Source organism: Homo sapiens, chromosome 9 (genome assembly GCF_000001405.40).
Source record: "Homo sapiens chromosome 9, GRCh38.p14 Primary Assembly".
Classification (NCBI taxonomy): Eukaryota; Metazoa; Chordata; class Mammalia; order Primates; family Hominidae; genus Homo; species Homo sapiens.
Genome location: NC_000009.12, coordinates 107,563,657 through 107,583,384, shown reverse-complemented (window position 1 = coordinate 107,583,384; position 19,728 = coordinate 107,563,657). Strand labels below are relative to the sequence as shown.

The following is a 19,728-nucleotide window of genomic DNA, read 5'->3' as shown; positions in this document are numbered from 1 at the left end:
ATTTTCCAAATGACTGATTAAGCAGTTACATAAGTAAAAAAAACTGCTTGAGTTAAATCAACCTGAATTAACACCTGCCTTCTCTATTTGCCCCTCTTGGCCTCAGTTTCCTCATTTGTTTAATAAATATTATTGTGTATTTGGGAATTCTTGAGGAGTCAGGATAATGTATATATAGTGTCATCCATATGGTTTTCCGTGAACACATGAAATCTTGTCTACCAGTCTATAAAGCAAATCCAGCAAAATTCAGAAACATTGCATATATGCAGTGTTTAACCACAGAGCAATTCAGCTGGAAATAAATAACAAAAAGATAACAAAGAGAACCTTATGCTTTTGAAAATTTATGAGCTTATAGCTAAATAAGTCAAAAATCAAAGAAGCAATGAAAGTGGAAATTATAACATATCTAGAACTGAATGTCAGTGAAAATACTGTACGTCAAAATGTATGGAACACAACTAAATCAACACCGGAGAGGGAAATCTGTAACTGTAAATGCTTAGATGGCCAGGTGCAGCGGCTCACACCTGTAATCCCAGCACTCTGGGAGGCCAAAATGGGCAGATTTCTTGAGCCCAGGAGTTCAAAACCAGCCCAGGCAACATGGTAAGACCCCCGTCTCTGCAAAAAATAAAAAAATTAGCAGGATGTGGTGGCTCATGACTGTAGTCCCAGACACTTGGGAGGCTGAAGCAGGAAGACCACATGAGCCTAGGAGGTTGAGGCTTCAAGTGAGCCATGTTTGTGCCACTGCAGTTTAGCCTGGGTGACAGAGCAAGACCTGGTCTTAATCAATCAATCAAGCAAAAACAAACAAACAAACAAACAAAAAAACTTAGATTAGAAAAACAAGAAATGCTGAAATGTAATAAACTAAACATCCAACTTAAGGAATTAGAAAATAACCACAGGATAGGACCGGGCACAGTGGCTCACGCCTGTAATCCCATCACTTTGGGAAGCTGAGGTGGGTGGATCACCTGAGGTCGGAAGTTTGAGACCAGCCGGGCCAACATGGTGAAACACCGTCTCTACTAAAAATACAAAAAAATTAGCCCAGTGTGGCAATGCGCACCTGTAATCTCAGCTATTCCAGAGGCTGAGGCAGGAGACTCACTTGAACCCAGGAGGCAGAGGTTGCAGTGAGCCGAGATAACACCACTGCACTCCAGCCTGGGTGACAGAGTGAGAGACTCTGTGTCAAAAAAAAAAAAGAAAATAACCACAGGATAAACCCAAGGAAAGTAGACATAAGAAAATAAGAAAATGAGAACGGAAATTGGTAAAATAGAAAACAAAAATAAAATAGAGAGCTTTAATGAAGTTGGTTCTTTATGAAGTCTAATAAAATTGATAAATTTTAGGTGAGAATGATCAATAAGAAAATTATGTGAGGCTCAAAAAATAACATTACAAATAATAAAAGGAATGAACAATTACAGATAGAGCAAAGATTTAAAAGATAATAAAACATACTATGAATGACTTTATGCCAATAAATTTTAAAACTTAGATAAAATGGAAAAATTCCTAGAAAAGAATTCTACCAGAACTGACTAAAAAATAATTAGAAAACTTGAGTCTTCCTTTAACCATTAAAGTAATTAAATCTATCAAAAAAAATATTGTATATCAACTTTTTTTTAATAGATAGAGACAGAATCTCGCCATGTTGCCCAGGCTGGTCTCAAACTCGTGTGCTCAAGTGATTCTCCCACCTCGGCCTTCCAAAGTGCTGGGATTACAGGTGTGAGCCACCGCACACAGCCATATGTCAATTTAAAAAATATATTTTATTATAAATTAAATCTATAAAACTATTCCATAAATAACTTCCAGGCCCAGCAGTTAGTCGTCTTTTTTTTTGGCAGGGGAGGTTGGTTTTTCGTTTTGTTCTTTTTTTAGACGGAGTCTCGTTCTATCACCCAGGCTGGAGTGCAGTGGCCCTACCTCAACTCACTGCAACCTCCACCTCCCAGACTCAAGTGATTCTCCTGCCTCAACCTCCCAAGTAGCTGGGACTACAGGCAAGTGCCACCATGCCCAACTAACTTTTGTATTTTTAGTAGAAACAGGGTTTTACCATGATGGTCAGGCTGGTCTCGAACTCCTGACCTCAAGTGATCGGCCCGCCTCAGCCTCCCAAAGTGCTGGGATTATAGGCATGAGCCACTGCACCCAGCCCAGGCCCAGTAGTTCTTAAAGCAAATTCCAACTAAATGTCAAGGAACAGGTAATTACATATCACTTCAGACTCTTGCAGGGAACAGAAAGAGGAGAATAAATTTCCCACTCATTTGATGAGAAAAGTACAGCTTTGCTATTGAAATAGGGCAAAGTAATATAAAAATGAAAAATCATTAGTCAATATTTCACGTGAACTTAGACAGTCCCCAAACAAAATTTTAGTAAATCAAAGCCAGCAATCATGAAAAAAAAAAAAAAGATAGTTCACATGACCAAATTTGGCTTAAATTAGGTATGCATTTTGGGCATTCATCATTTTAACATATTAAGGGAGATAAATGACAAGATCATATGAGCTGTCACACAAAAAGCTATTTAAAATTCAACACTCATAGATGATTTTTTTTTTTTTTTTTTTGAGATGGAGTCTTGGTCTGTTGCCCAGGCTGGAGTGCAGTGGCGCAATCTCGGCTCACTGCAGCCTCCATACGGGGCTCACTACCCCGCCATTTCTTTCTACTTCAGTTTGCTAAGCTTTTTTTTAAAAAAAAAAAAAATCACGTAGGGCCGAGCGCAGTGGCTCACGCCTGTAATCTCAGCACTTTGGAAGGCAGAGGTGGGCAGATCACCTGAGGTTGGAAGTTCAAGATCAGCCTGACCAACATGGAGAAACCCCGTCTCTACTGAAAATACAAAATTAGCCAGGCATGGTGTCGCATGCCTGTAATCCCAGCTACTCAGGAGGCTGAGGCAGGAGAATCGCTTGAACCCAGGAGGCAGAGGTTGCGGTGAGCCAAGATTAAGCTATTGCACTCCAGCCTGGGCAACAAGAGCAAAACTCCATCTCAAAAAAAAAAAAAAAGAAAGAAAAAGAAGTAAAGAAATAAAAAGGAATGTCCTTAACTAGAAGAAGAATATTTGCAAAAATCCAAAATAAATATTATACTTAATGGTGAATAATTAGAAAAATTTCCCTAATAGTCAGCATATAAAAGAAAGGTACAAAAATTCTTTATTCCCAAATTATGATTGTCTACAGACAATATTCAAATACCAATAAAAACTGTAAATGCTTAGAAAGAATAAGAAAATTAACAAGATTGTTATCAGTAAATGAAACTCAATTACGTTTTTACAACCAAATAACCATCAGTTAAAAGTGTAATTTTAAAAATACAACTTACTAGCCAGGCGCAGTGGCTCAAGCCTGTAATCCCAGCACTCTGGAAGGCCGAGGCAGGCAGATCATTTGAGGCTAGGAGTTTGAGACTAGCCTGGATAACATGGTAAAATGCTGTCTCTACTAAAAAAAAAAAAAAAATACAAAAATTAGCCGGACATGGTGGCACACGCATGTAATTCTAGCTACTTGGGAGACTGAGGCATAGGAATTGCTCGAACCCAGGAGGCAGAGGTTGCATCGAGCCCAGGTCACACCACTGCAACTCCAGCTTGAGTGACAGAGCAAGACTCTGTATCAAAAAACAAAACAAACAAACAAAAAAAACCAAAAACTTATTATGGCAACAAAAATAATTCTAGTAAAAAATGTGCAAGACCTCTGTGGAGAAAATTATAAAACTTGTTAAATGACATTTTTAAAGACACAAATGGAAGAAGAGAGAGGAACTCTGTTCATGAATAGGAAGTTTTGGTATATAGATGTCAACTGTTCCTAGACTGATCTGCAAATTCAATCCAATTGAAATGAAAATATCAGCAGAGTTTTCCAAGGAACTTGAACACCTAATTTGAAATGAATGATCAAGAGCAAATGGCAAATAATTTAAACAATCAATATAAATTGTGATTGTAATTTAGACAATTTTGAGGGAGAATAACAAAGTAGGTAAACTTGCTCTGTGAAATATCAAAATTTGTTATAAAATTATAAATACTAAGATAGTATAGTATTGATATGTGGAGAGAGATATACACTAATTGGGGGAGAATTAAGCCCAGAAACAGATCCATGGACCCATGCATTTATAAATATCTATGATAGGAAAGAGTTTGCATTGTGTGTTGGTGGTGGTTAAAGATGGACTATTCAATAAATGGTTATGGACAACCAGTTATTCAGATGGAAGATATAATAAAATTTTGATCCCTACTTTATCAACACAGACATACACACACACACACACACACACACAAACACACAAACACACATCAGGTTCAGGTATTATAGTGACTGAAATAAAAAGCATAACTTTAAATTTGGGGGAAAAATATAGAAGATATTGATAACTTCAGGGTAAGGAAAGATTTCTTAAATAAGACACTCCAAAAAAGCATAAACCTTCATCAAACTAATAAATTCAAAAATGTGATTCAGTGCAGTGGCTCAAGCCTGTAATTTCAGCACTTTGGGAGGCCGAGGCAGGCAGGTCACTTGAGCCCAGGAGTTTGAGACCAGCCTGGGCAACATGGCAAGACCCTATCTCTACCAAAAAAAAAAAAAATTAGCCAGGCATGGTGACATGCACCTGTAGTCCTAGCTACTCAGGAGGCTGAGGTGGGAGGATTGCTTGAGCCTAGGAGTTGGAGGCTGCAGCGAGCTATGATCATACCACTGCACTCCAGCCTGGGTGATGGAGCAAGACCTCATCTGTAAAAGAAATAAAGTTGTATTTTTTAAAAAAAAAAAAAAAAAGAAAAGTGAAAAAACAAGGCCAAAACTGATAGAAAATACTGACAATACTGACTGAGGAATAATACATGGAGTACATAAAGAATTCCTAAAAAAAAAAGATAAACAGCCTGCCAGAAAAATGGGCAAAAGACACTAGAGACATTTCAAAAAAGGGGAAAATTTAAATAGCAAAAGATTTTTTAAAAAGGCATTCAACTTTATTAACAAATCAAGAAAATGAAAACTAAAATAAAGATATATCATTTTCATCCACCAGAAAGGCAAAAATTGACAAGTCTGACAATACTCAGCATTGGCCAGGTGCAGTGGCTCACGCCTGTAATCCCAGCACTTTGGGAGGCCAAGGTGGGCGAATTACCTGAGGTCAGGAGTTCCAGACCAGCCTGGCCAACACGGTGAAATCCCGTCTCTACTAAAAATACAAAAATTAGCCAGGCATGGTGGCGCACACCTGTAATCCCAGCTACTCGGGAGACTAAGGCATGAGAATCACTTGAGCCCATTGGGGCGGAGGTTACAGTGAGCCTAGATCATGCCACTGCACTCCAGCCTGGGTGACAGAGTGAGACTCCATCTCAAAAATAAAAATAAATGAAAGAAGCATAGTAAAAAAAAAAAAAGTCTAGAAGAAAAAAAGTCATGAAGCATTAACCATGGCTAGCTTTGAGTGACAGATGTCATTTTCTTCTTTTTTTTTAGTAGTCTCTAATTTTCTATAATGAACATGTACTCCTTTTAAAATCAAGGAAAAAAATATTTTGTTTAACAAGACCAACCCCCTAATTCTAGGATAAATACCACACAGTTGAAAGGAGAAGGAAAAAAAAAAAAGACTAGGTATAAAAATAACTTTCTCTGGGTTTGATCTTCAAGCAACAAACTACAATCTCAGGAACTCTTTCTCCCCTGAGCTTTTCTGGGTCCTACGCAAAGAAACCAGGCAAAGTATGCTTGTTGGATTATATTGTTCCCTGGGCAAGTAGAAAAGAGAAAACTTTTGTGCATTTAATGAAAAAGCACACAAGGCATTATTTTTAGATTTACCGTAATTCTGTCCCCTACAAGACTCTGCAGCCAAGTGAACTCTGAAAGATTTTCCTGTTTTAAGCATCATTTGTTTCTCTTGATTTTTTTGTTTTGGTTTCGTGTGGAGGTGAGTGCAATGCGGCCTCTACTCCAGGCAGGAACTTCCCTTCAGATTAGCATGTTCTATGGTATTCATCTGATTTGGACTCAGCCCCTTGCTGGCCTCAGTAGTTGCTACATTATTTCCTGGGAGGAGATTAGGAATTTGAGGCAGTGAGACAATAATAGTAGCAATAATGATCAGCTGGGATTATGGTGACCCTGATGCGGATGCAGAAACTGGGATGCCAAAAGGTGAATGATCTGGATGCCCCGGGCTATGACCGGCTTTACCTTGAGCCTCACCCTGCTGCCCTAGGCTCCGTCCTTTAGCCCCTCTGTGATGTCCCATCTGCGTAGATGCCAAGAACCAGTTCCAGGGCTCTGCTCAGAACCCCTTATAAATCTTCTCATGGGCATGTGTGAAGAAAGGAAGAAGAGGGAGAGAAGAGAGAAGGAAAGGAGAGACAAGAGGAAACTCATCTTCATGGCAATAGCTACTATTTGTCATGCTTGTCAGGTGCCAGACGTCATCCTGGGTACATCAATGCTATATTATCTCATTTAATCCTCACCAAAATGCAATAAATTAGTGATTTTTAAAAATCTATTTTTCATAGAAGGAAATTGAGTTTCAGAGTGGTTAGGTGACTTTCCCATCATCACGTGCTCTTTTTTTTTTTTTTTTTTTTTTTTTTTGAGACGGAATCTTGCTTACTCACCCAGGCTGGAGTGCAGTGGCGCGATCTCAGCTCACTGCAAGCTCCGCCACCCGGGTTCACGCCATTCTCCTGCCTCAGCCTCCCGAGTAGCTGGGACTACAGGTGCCCACCACCACACCCGGCTAAATTTTTTTGTATTTTTAGTAGAGACGGGGCTTCACCGTGTTAGCCAGGCTGGTCTCGAACTCCTGACCTTGTGATCCACCTGCCTCGGCCTCCCAAAGTGCTGGGATTACAGGCATGAGTCACCATGCCTGGCCTTAATCACATGCTCTGAAGGGGCAGAGCTAGGACTCTAGGTCCCAGGAATACAGTTTTGGAGCTTGAACCTTAACAATGTTTCCTCCTCCCTACCCCCTTCCCCATGCACCTATCACAGAACCCTAAATTGTTGAGCTTTTCCTCTGAAACAGAAACAAATAATACATGTGGTTTGGCTGCCCTCAAATATTCCGGGGCTATTTCCTGAAATAGCTTAATCAGAATTCCCTGTCAACCCCTACAATCTCCCCGCAGTGTGGCCTCCACTTGAAACCTACCAAGCCCCAAGATTGTACAGACTACCTGATCCCCCACACAGGCTTTCATACCTCCAGGTTCAAGTCTGTCTCTGGCTTCAGCTGCCAGGCCACTCCTCTCCTTGCTCTGGTCTCATGGAATGTCTTCTCAGCCCACTGGAGCAAGGTGCTCCTCCTCCAAGAAGCCTTCCCTGATTTTATTGAATTCATTAGCTCCTTCATTCGATCAGCAAATTTTATTAAGCAGCTATCATATGACCTTCGCTGCAAATTAAATAAGAGATCAGTATACCACTGAAACTTACCCAGAAAGTCAAGAAATCCTTTCCTGAAAAATCAATACTTGTTTAGGAATCCAAAGAGTGATTAAGAGGAGTTAATTAGAAAAAATGGAGGAGTAGGGGAATGTTGCTAAGAGGACCAGATCGAGGAAATACCATGAACCAACAAAAAGACCATGGATAAATCATAGCTGCACCATAAACTAGTTTGTAGAAATATGGGCAAGGTATTTAACCAGCCTCTCTGAAACTCAGTCACCTCTGCTATAAAAAAGCAGGCAGTGGTGCTTCTCATGTTGTCAGAATGCAATGCAAATATATTTGCAAAACCCTTGGCACAAATTCTATCACATAGTAGGTTCTCATTAAATGGCATATCCCTTTGGACAGATTTTTCTTTTAGGGAATAGAAATAATTTGGGATGCCAAAAGATGGTAATCTCTGTAGCTATCAAAATCGCAGAGCTGACAGTGGGATATTATTGATCAGGTCAGCTTCAGATCCCTGAGTCACCCACCATGTCCGTTATTTATGTCCATGCTGGAAGCTTCACTGAAGGAGGGGCCTTCACTTGTCTTGTTCACTGCTGTATCCCCAATGCTGAAGCAATACCTCTCACAGACTACTAATTTTAAAATGTTTGTTGAATGAATGTTTGATGACTTTACTCATCTGCTCAATCAATGGTCACAAAGACTGGTTCCCTAACTGTCAGCATCAGCATCCCTGGAAACCTGTTGGAAATGCACATTCTCAGGCCCCACTCTGGGGCTGCTGAATCAGAAACTCTGGGGATTGGCTCCAGGAATCAGTGTTTCAACAAGCCTGCCAGGTGCAGGTGCTGCTTGAGTTTAAGAAGCACTACTCTGAAGGCCGGGCGCGGTGGCTCACACCTGTAATCCTAGCACTTTGGGAGGCCGAGGCGGGTGGATCACGAAGTCAGGAGATTGAGACCATCCTGGCTAACACGGTGAAACCCTGTCTCTACTAAAAATACAAAAAAAATTAGCCGGGCGTGGTGGTGGGCGCCTATAGTCCCAGCTACTCCGGAGGCTGAGGCTGGAGAGTGGCATGAACCCGGGAGGCGGAACTCACAGTGGGCCAAGATTGCGCCACTGCACTCCAGCCTGGGCAACAGAGCGAGACTCTGTCTCAAAAAAAAAAAAAAGAAGCACTACTCTGAAAGGAGCATCTAGATAGCAGCGATTGGCTTACTCAGCTCTAATATGCAGCCCTGGGCAAATGCATTAGAACTGAAAATTGATTGCCCCTCCTAGGACTCAATCCTGCTGCAAAACTCAAGCCAATCTTAAGAATGTCAGAACCAAACTGGCTCAAGAAAGAGCCCCCACCACCGCCATCCACCTGTACCAGCCACCAGATGGGTGATCCTACCTTTCCAAGGATGACCTGCTCTTCTGAGTGCAATCAAGTCCAACTCAAAAGCCCCCTCCTCTGGAAAGCTTTGAGAAACAATTTCCAGGTAGGATGAACTTCTCCCTTCCCGGTGCTACAGGTGCAGGTTTTCGCTATGGCCAGGAGCCCATAGTGGTTTTCAAATACATTTAGAAATATCTCCCCTCTAGATATTTGCCACCCAATATGGTAGCCACTAGCCGCATGTGGCCACGGGGCCCCACCAGAGGGGCTAGTAGAAATTGAGATATGCTGTGAAGTGTAATATCCATACTGAATTTTGCAAGTACAGATTTTTAAAAATGTAAAATATCTAATTATGAATTTTCATTTTTAGGCCAGATGCAGTGGCTCACGTCAGTAATTCCAACACTTTGGGAGGCCGAGGCAGGAGGATTGCTTGAGGCCAGGAGTTTGAGACCAGCCTGCACAAGCAAGACCCTATCTCTACAAAAATAAAAATAAAAATAATTAGCTGGGGCCAGGCGTGGTAGCTCAAGCCTGTAATCCCAACATTTTAAGAGGCGGAGGCAGGTGGATCACCTGAGATCAGGAGTTTGAGGCCAGCCTGGTCAACATGGCAAAACCCAGTCTCTACTAAAAATACAAATTAGCCAGGCATGGTGGCAGGCGCCTGTAATCCCAGCTACTCTGGAGGCTGAGGCAGAAGTATTGTTTGCACCCGGGAGGCAGACGCTGCAGTGAGCTGAGATCACACCACTGCACTCCAGCCTGGGTGACAGAGCGAGACTCAGTCTCAAAAAAAAAAAAAAACTAGCCATGTGTGGTCATGCAGGCCTGTAGTCCTAGCTACTTGGGAGGCTGGGGCAGGAGGATCGCTTGGCCCCAGAGTTTGAGGTTACAGTGAGCTATGATCAGGCCACTGCCCTCCAGCCTGGGTGACAAAGAAAGACCCTGTCTCAAAAAAGTAAAATAATTTCCATTTTGATTAAATGTGAAAATGATATTTTAGATATATTGGGTTAAAGGAATATAGTATTAAATTAATTTCACCTGTTTCTTTTCAGTTCTATTGTGGCAACTAGATAATTGAAAACTACATACAGCCATTTGCTGCTTAATGACAGATACGTCTGAGAAATATGTTGTTAGGTGATTTCATCATTGTGCGGACATCATAGTGTATACTTGCACAAACCTAGATTGTAGAGCCTACTATACACCTAAACTGTATAACATAAACTCTTGCTCCTAGGCTACAAACCTAAACAGCATGTTGCTGTACTGAATACTGTGGGCAATTATAACACAATGCTAAGTATCTGTGTGTCTACACACATCTAAACATAGAAAAGGTATAGTAAAAATGGGGCCCAGCACAGTGGCTCAGGCCTGTAATCCCGGCACTTTGGGAGGCTGAGGCAGGCGGATCATCTGAGGTCAGAAGTTCGAGACCAGCCTGGCCAATATGGTAAAACCCTGTCTCTACTAAAAATACCCAGACGTGGTGGTGGGCGGCTGTAATCCCAGCTACTCGGGAGGCTGGACAGGAGAATCACTTGAATGTGGGAGGCGAAGTTTGCAGTGAGCTGAGATCACGCCACTGCACTCCAGCCTGGGCGACAGAGCAAGACTCCATCTCAAAAGAAAAGAAAAGAAAAGGTGTAGTAAAAATACAATGATAATTTGATGGGACCACCATCGTGCACGCGGTCAGTCATTGACTAAATTGCCATTAGACGGTGCATGATGTCTATGGCCGACATTGTCTTTTTATTGGGCAGTAAGAATTCCACCATGGTGGAGGTCAGAGTTCACTCACCTTTGGACTCCAGTGCCCACCTCTTGCATATAGTAGGTGTTCAAGAAACAAGTGTAGAAAAGTAAAATATTTTGCAAATTTCTCAAGGCCTAGAAAGAATTGTTTATCTTCTCAACTACAGATGCACTGATATCAACATCTGGGACTGATTCAATTGGTTCCAACTCAAAACTCAAAGAAACAAAACAAGTTTGTGGGATCTGAAGACCCGGATTCTGATGCTGGCTGCTAAGTAGCCAGATGATTTTATGTAGCTCAACCTTCTGCTTAACTCCAATAATTGCTGTGTGCCCACTCCACAGGCTCTTGGGAACTGAATAAGAAAATAAATAGGATCCTATTGCAGAGACTATTAGCACTGGAGGAGTGAGAAATTATTCTCCAGCCCCCACTTTCCCATCCTATCCCCTCCAGTTGCCTGGCCTAGATTTTCTGGAAAGCTGCAGAATGTGCAGACATTGTGTTCCCTGGATTTATAGCTCATTTTATAATGTTTTTGGGTGAGGTCAGAAGCTTTACACGCACTATTGTTCTTTTTGTCTTAACCTAAATATGATTTCTCTCAAAGAAAAGAATTCAGGAAAGAGGGAATGGGAGGAGGCTACTGAGAGGAAGAAAGTTCCTGTCCTCTTTCTCTTATTTACCCAGACTTTGGATCTCAGTCCATATCTAGGGAATTGGAGGGAAAATTATCATCTTAGGCAGGGCACGGTGGCTTATGCCTCTAATCCCTGCACTTTGGGAGGCCAAGGCGGGCGGATCACCTGAGGTCAGGAGTTCAAGACCAGCCTGGCCAATGTGGTGAAACCCCATCTCCAGCCGGGTGCGGTGGCTCCACGCCTGTAATCCCAGCACTTTGAGAGGCCGAGGCAGGCAGATCACGAGGTCAAGAGATCAAGATCAGCCTGGCCAACATGGTGAAACCTTGTGTCTACTAAAAATACGAATATTAGCTGGGTGTGGTGGTACGCACCTGTAATCCCAGCTACTTGAGAGGCTGAGGCAGGAGAATCTCTTGAACCCCAGAGGTGGAGGTTGCAGTGAGCCGAGATCACATCATTGCACTCCAGCCTGGGTGACAGAGCGAGACCCTGTCTCAAAAAAAAAAAAAAAAAAAGTTGTCATCTTAAGAGTTTAAGGTTTATCTTATACCAGCCTTGCAAATATCAAAAAAATGCAATAGCCCACCAGATGTCTAATTCAGCAATTGTCACTGATGCAATTACAGTCAATCCTCATTTAAAGATTCCATATTTATGAATTTGCCTCCTTACTAAAATGTATTTGTAACCCCAAAATCAAAACTTATTGCACTTTCATGGCCATTCACAGACATGGGAGAAGGAATGAAACATCTGAGTCACCCACATACCTTCCCAGCTGACGTTAGCAAGGTGGTACTCTGTCTTCTTGTTTCAGTTCCCCAACTATATATGTGTCCTTTTTGCAACCCATTTAGTGCCACACACATTTTTCATATGTTTGTGCTTTTTGTTTTGTTTTGTCTTGTCTTTTTGTTTGTTTTGTTTTGAGATGGAGTCTCGCTCTGTCCCCCAGGCTGGAGTGCAGTGGCACGATCTCAGCTCACTGCAACCTCTGCCTCCTGGGGTCAAGCGATTCTCCTGCGTCAGACTCCCATGTACCTGGGATTACAGGTACAAACGACCACGCCTGGCTAATTTTTGTGTTTTTAGTAGAGATGGGTTTCACCATGTTGGCCAGGCTGGTCTCGAACTCCTGACCTCAGGTGATCTGCCCACCTTAGCCTCCCAAAGTGCTGGGATTACAGACATGAGCCACTGCGCCCAGCTGTTTCTGCTTTTTGTTGGTAATTTGGCTGTTTAACGTGGTCTCCAGGAACAGTGCTGAAGTGCTGTCTGGTGTTCCCAAGCCTAAGAAGGCTGTGATGTGCGTTATAAATAAGCTTTATTTAGGCATTCGTTATATTGCTGTAGGCTGTGAATTCAATGTTAATGAATCAACAAGATATATTAAATAAGGTGCCTTTATTTTATTTTTTTTGTTTGTTTTTTGAGACAGAGTCTCGCTCTGTCACCCAGGCTAGGGTGCAGTGGTGCGATCTCAGCTCACTGCAACATCCATCTCCTGGAGTTTAAGTTATTCTCCTGCCTCAGCCTCCCGAGTAGCTGGGATTACAGGCATGTGCCACCACACCTGGCTAATTTTTGTATTTTTAGTAGTGACAGGGTTTCACCATGTTGACCAGGCTGGTCTTCAACTCCTGACCTCAGGGGATCTGCCCACCTCAGCCTCCCAAAGTGCTGGGATTACAAGCCTGAGCCACCACGCCCAGCCTAAATAAGGTGTCTTTAAACAGAAGCACACATACGACACAGTTACATATTGATTGGTGGGTGAAAACATTGGGACCAGAGATTCAAAGGGACCTTACCCAGTATATCCCCTGGGAGCTACCGTTTAGTATTCAGTAATTCAGCGTTCATTGCAACTTTACAGAAAACAGCTGCCACAAATAATGAAAATCGGCCGTAAATTTTTTAAGTAAATGAGTTCAGAGTTATGCCCTTTGAATGTGTTACTCTTTCCACGAATCTAGCTCTCTGCGCTTGCTCCTCTCCTGTCTTTCGAATGGACAGTCACTACCTGGTGACATGAAGCAGATATGCTCAGGAAAGACAAGGATGGGGAAGCTAATCATTTCTCAGTGCTCTTTGGTAGGGAAGCATCTCGGTCTGCTTTTTGTTTTTTGCTTTATTTTATTTTTTTTTGACACGGGGTTGGACTCTGTCACCCAGGCTGGAGTGCAGTGGTACAATCACGGCTCATTGCAGCCTCCACCTCTCAGGATCAAGAGATCCTCTGACCTCAGTCTCCTGAGTAGCTGGGACTACAGGTGTGTGCCACCATGCCTGGGTAATTTTTATATTATTTGTAGAGATGGGGTTTCACCACGTTGCCCAGGTTGTCCCGAACTCCTGGGCTTAAGCAATCAGGCCCACCTTGGGCTTCTAAAGTGCTGGGATTACAGGCTTGAGCCATGGCGCCCAGCCCCTGGTCTGTTTTATATTGTTCAGGGGAGGGATTATGTTGGTCAGGCACAGACATCAGCATGTAGACTAAGGAATAGAACTCAATCCTCTAATTGGGCAGAGAGGTGCCAATGTACTGTTATTAGAAGAAAGAAAGAAAATGCCTTACCCTTTACGAGCTTACTGGCTCATGGAATGCAGAACAGAAGATAGCCAGACAATAATAAATAAAACAGGGACCTTTGATTAGCTGCCTGGCATGAAAGTACACTTGCCTCAGAGAGGGAAACCTATGACCCTATTTCCTGAGTCATTCATCTGGCGCCTCTCCTGCCCCGTGGAAAGGTCAGAGGTTGTGGAGTCAGACAGATATACTAATAGATTAAAAGCCTGTCTGCCCCACTCACTGGCTGTGTAAACCTCAGCCTCAGTTTTCTTATCTGTAAATTGAGGGCTAATAGTACCTATTTCAAGGAGATATCGAAAGGATTGAGAGAAATTAAGTGCCTATTACAATACGTGGTCCATACTGGGTTATTCAGTAAGGTTCTTCAGTGTTGCCATCTTTTTTCACTATTGCACGTTGATTTGTGAATATGATCTCTCAGTAACCCTTTCTCCTGGAGAAGAAAGAATCATGTGTCAAACTTTCAGTCCTTTTGCAAAGTTTAATTGTGTGCCTACTACTTAGCGAGCCCCGTGTGATATGGGAGAAAGAGAAATGTAAAGCTCGTATGACCTCGTTCTGAAGGAACTCTCAGAAAAAACAATTTTGGAATCAATAAGAATTATCTAGAATAACAAGGACCTGGTTAACAGACTGACTTTACTCCACATCTAAGAAATTCCAGACTTGGCCAGGCATGGTGGCTCACGCCTGTAATCCCAGCACTTTGGGAGGCCGAGGTGGGTGGATCACCTGAGGTCAGGAGTTCGAGACTAGCCTGGGCAACATGGTGAAATCCCCGTCTCTACCAAAAATACAAAGATTAGCCAGGCGTGGTGGCACACGCCTGTAATTCCAGCTACTTGGAAGGCTGAGTGAGGCAGGAGAATCACTTGAACCTGGAAGACGGAGGTTGCAGTGAGCTGAAATCGCATCACTGAACTCCAGCCTGGGTGACCGAGCAAGACTCTGTCTCAAAAAAAAAAAAAAAGAAATTCCAGACTTGATAGTAATGCCTATTTGATATCAAGCAAAATCAGGTCTGTTTTCCTAGTAGCTGAACTTGTTCTCCTCTTCTTTCTTATAAAGAAAAGTCTAGATATCGTAATGCTGACTACAATTGCATTATATAGAACTTAATTTGTTTTAGGATACATGTATTTAAAAAAAAGCAAAAGAATTCTACAAGACAAAAAGAATATGTACAACTTCTTCAAAAATAGTCTGGTCTGATATTCTCATAATAAATTAATTTTGAAAATGTGTTAGAGAAATGCAAACAGGGCAATGAATAAGGGTTAACTTTCTACATGACATATTTCTTTAATGCTTGCAATTTTATTCAATGAAAGCATTAACTTTTTATCCGAACAAAATAAAGGTTATTTTGGTTTTTCTTAAGCCATGAGAAGTTGAAAGAAAAATAAAATCATTCCTATTCCCAACACCTACTATTAATATTTTGGTGTGTTTCCTTGCAAACTTTTTCTCTGCCTACTTAGTAGCCTGTATTTACACAGCTGGGACCATAGCATAAAATATTACATCCTGCTTACTTCAATCATAATGTAAGCATTTTTCATTTATAAACTTTTCATAAACATTTTTAATGGCTGCATAATATTCCATTGAGCAGTATATAATCATTTACATAATGCTACTCCTATATTCAAACACTTAGGTTATTTCAAGCTTTTCTCTATTATATATAAAGTTTTAATCTCGGTGCATGAATCCAAGTCTGCACTTTGGATTATTTCCTTATGACAGATTCCCAGAAGTGGAATGACGAGCTCTAAGGCAATGAACATATTTCAGGCCTGTGATACAGATTGCCAAATCGCTTTCCCAAAAGAGTTGTACCATTTCACACTCCCACTGACGATGTTGCTTATTCCATTTTTAATGGCATCATATGACTGAAATGGCCAATAGCAAGGTTTACATAAACTATGATACATCTAGCCAGTGAATTATACAGCCCATGAACTTTCTAATGGGGTCTGGGTAACAGCATGGAAAAACAGTTATGCTGCAATGTTAAGCAGAAAAAGCAGAACACAGAATTGAATGTTATTGCCAGTGCCTCAGAATAATAATAATAATAATAAATCTGCCTAAGGATAAGGACCAGGAAAGCAAAACAAAACCAAAAAAATAAAATAAAATAAAATATTGACATGTATAGTAAGTGTGGCAAGGTGATGACTGCGAGATTGATAACTGTCTCTCTGGTTGTAATTATTTTCACTCTCTGTGTTAATTTCACCTTGTGTTGCTATAGCACTGTTCAATATTTCAAAAACTTCACATACCAGCAAAGTATTCGGGTTACAACACTGCACAGTACTGAATTTCTCAAAAGCTTCTCCTGCAGGATTCTAGCATTTCCAAAACTGGCCCAAGTGTTTTCGCGGCTAAAGGATCATGGTGGTCTTTTCTGAATTCCCAGAAATAATTAAGTCAATGAATGGAATTTTCTGAAATGTAAATTCTCCCATGACTTCTTTTTCCTCAAACCTCTGGCAACTGGCACCACTCTTCTGCTAGAGATGACAAGAATGAAGACTTCACAAATAGTAACAGAAAACCACTGAAACAGCTGGTCACATTCTATGGATCCTGGCCTTGTGGTTGTACTATTTTACCACAGCATAGAAGAGAGTCGTATTTTCTGCTAGCAAAACTGTTCCAAGTCCTGTGATGGAGTGAATATCAATAGGTTGTGACGATCCCCCAGAAGCATTGTGATGTCAGTTGCCGACATTCACCAGCTGTACAGACGTGCGCACAGCTGAGTTCTGACCCCTCCCATCCCCTGCCCTGTTCTGGGAGGGAAAAATACAGGGGATGACATAACCCAGGGCTGATGGGGGCTGCTTCCAAAAGTAACGGGAGAAGCAACAGTGTTCTTAAGAAGCCACCACCCCCAGTGCCTTGTTTGATATTTTTCCTGTGTCTAGTCTTTTCCCTCCTCAGCCGATCTTCCACACTGACTTTAAGTATAGCTACCTAAAATCTTTCTACGTCAAGTATAATCCAGGGACCGGTAGCCTCTGCATACCCCTGGGAACTTGTTAAAAATGCAGAATGCCCCATCCCAGACATATGAAATCAGAATCTGCATTTTAACAAGATCCCCAGGTAATCTACTTGCACACTGTGTTTAAGAAGCACTGGGGGCCGGGCGCGGTGGCTCACACCTGTAACCCCAGCACTTTGGGAGGCCAAGGCGAGAGAATTGCTTGAGCCCAAGAGTTTGAGACCAGCCTGGACAACATAGCGAGACCCTGTTTCACCTATTTATCATTCCTTGAATACATTAAGGCTTTCTCAAGCCCAACAAAGCGCAACTTTGTATGTGCAGTTCCCGCTGCAAGAATGCCTTTCCACAAATGGGGAAATCACGCTCAACCTTCAAAACCCAACCCAGGCCAGGCGCAATGGCTCACACCTGTAATCCTAGCACTTTGGGAGGCTGAGGTGGGCAGATCGCTTGAACTCAGGAGTTCAAGACCAGCCTGGGCACCATGGCAAAACCCCATCTCTACAAAAATACAAAAAAAATTAGCTGGGCATGGTGGCACGGGCCTGTAGTCCCAGCTACTTGTGGGGGCTGAGGCTGGAGGATCGCTTGAGCCCAGGAAGTCGAGGCTGCAGTGAGCCAAGATCCAGCCACTGCACTCCAGCCTGAGTAACAAAGTGAGACCTAGTTTCAAAAACAAAAAAAACCTGATCCAAGTACTCCTCCAAGAAACCTGCTTGGTCTCCTCCCAACACACTCCCTACTTCTCCTTCCTGTGAGCTCCACAGCCCTAGTTTTGTTTGTTTGTTTGTTTTGTTTTGTTTGAGATGCAGTCTCACTCTTGTCCCCCAGGCTGGAGTGCAATGGTGCCATCTCGGCTCACTGCAACCTCCGCCTCCCGGGTTCAAGCAATTCTCCTGCCTCAGCCTCCTGAGTAGCTGGGATTACAGGCGCCCGCCACCACACCTGGCTAATTTTTGTATTTTTAGTGGAGACGGGGTTTCACCATGTTGGCCAGGCTGGTCTTGAACTCCTGACCTCAGGTGATCCACCCATCTCGGCCTCCCAAAGTGCTGGGATTACAGGCGTGAGCCACTGCGCCGGTCAGCCATTGTATTTTAAGTAGTCTATGTGTGTATGTGTGTGTATTCACTACTAAGTGACAATTTCCTTGTTGGTGGCTCAGTAGACACTTAAGCTATGTTTGCAAAATGGGAATGACTGATTGAATAAATGAGTGCTGCTTCTGGCTCTGCAACATGATAACTGATGTGATTTTCCTCTTTGAAAAATGCCCTAGATGTTGTGAAAATCAAATAAGTTCTGTGCATGGAAAAGTGATTCGTAAACTGCAAAGATCTGCAGAATTTACCTAAATCTCAGTGCTCTGCAAGGGCCATCCCTGGATCTGCCTGGGGTTGGCCTTGTGATAACGACCCAAGAGGATATTGATATATACAGATTCCGAGGCCCTACCTGCAGAGATTCAGATTCAAGAGGAATTCTGCATTTTCACAAGCTTTTCAGGTGGTTCAGTATGAAGCCAAATCTGGGAACAGCTGGCTTGTGAGTTCACCTCTCACTTCTTGACCCAGGGCCTGGACTTGAGCGAGGCAGGAGAAGAACCAGAGTGAATATTTAAGGAGGACCTCATTCTCAAGGGCATGCAAGTGCGGGATGGTCCCCCTGAGAGAGCGAGCCTTCTTAAAAACTGTGCACCCTAGGAGTCCTTTGGCAGTGACCACCGGCAAAGCACGTAGGATCATCCAGTGTGACCCCTGTCTGAGCCTGCTGCCTGGGGATCTCCAGGGCCTCAGCCTCAGGCAGGCCCAGGTGAGACGAGGACAAGATGCCCACACGACCTTGAAATTCCAGGCCCGACCACTGCAGCCCCATTAACGGCCTGTTTTCCCTTAAGTGGAGAAGAAGCAGACTAAGTCTAACCTCAGTGCCTCATGGAGTCTGACCACCACAGGGCACCAGGATCCTTTGAAGAGCCCAGGTCTTGGCACTCAAGCAAGCAGATTTTTCTCAGTTGTTCAGACCCCCCGTGCCAGCTCTGAGCATTCTAGACTCCTGGTGGTCAGCATCCTCTCAGGCTCATGGGGACTGTCCCTAGGTTGTCATGTGTGGAGGTTAAGTGACTTCCTACCCCTCTGACTTCCCAGAAGGCACAAAGCTCACTCTCCTCCTTCCCTCTTTTCCTTTTTCATGAGCTGGCCTGGCTGTGTCAGGCAGGGTCAGGCTCAGCAGAAGGCACATCACATATATCTTTTTTATTAAAGACAGGGTCTCACTTGTTGCCCAGGCAGGAGCACAGTGGCACGATCTTAACTCACTGCAGCCTCGAACTTCTGGGCTCAAACAACCCCCCACCTCAGCCCCCCAAGTAGCTGGAACTATAGGCCCATACCACTATGCCCAGCTAATTTTTTTGTATTTTGTAGAGATGGGGTTTTGCCATGTTGCCTCCTGAGTAGCTGGGACTACGAGTACACCACTACACTCAGCTAATTTTTAAAAAACTATTTTTGTAAACAATGGGGTCTTGCTATATTGTCCAGGCTGGTCTCAAACTTCTCACCTCAAGTGATCCTCCTGCCTCGGCCTCCCAAAGTGTTGGGATTACAGGTGTGATCCACAGCACCCGCCATTTTATTTTTTTTTTTAGAGATAGTCTTGTTGGCATTCAGTGATATAATCATAGCTCACTGCAGGCTCAGACTCCTGGGCTCAAGCAATCCTCCTGCCTCAGCCTCCTGAGTAGCTAGAACTACAGGTGTGCTCCACCAGAGGGCCAATTTTTTAATTTTGTTGTAAAAATGGGGTCT

General features: G+C 42.9%; 1 long non-coding RNA gene across 9 annotated transcripts in view; it reads right to left on the bottom strand.

Moving 5' to 3' along the window:
• Positions 1–16,596, bottom strand: part of LOC105376205 (uncharacterized) — a 98,539-nt gene extending 81,943 nt beyond the window's left edge. For 4 of the 9 annotated variants that reach the window (XR_930217.2, XR_930218.2, XR_930216.2 and 1 more), the window contains exons 1-3: positions 16,188–16,596; positions 14,171–14,326; positions 7,287–7,478 (exon numbers count right to left, since the gene is read on the bottom strand). This is a non-coding gene — a long non-coding RNA (uncharacterized LOC105376205). Of the gene's footprint in view, positions 1–3,466; positions 3,497–6,269; positions 6,381–7,286; positions 7,479–10,695; positions 11,176–11,668; positions 11,711–14,170; positions 14,327–16,187 lie in introns of those variants that run through there. The other 5 variants (XR_930221.2, XR_930222.2, XR_930219.2 and 2 more) reach the window with 5 other exon arrangements.
• Between the last annotated feature and the right edge of the window lie 3,132 nt (positions 16,597–19,728).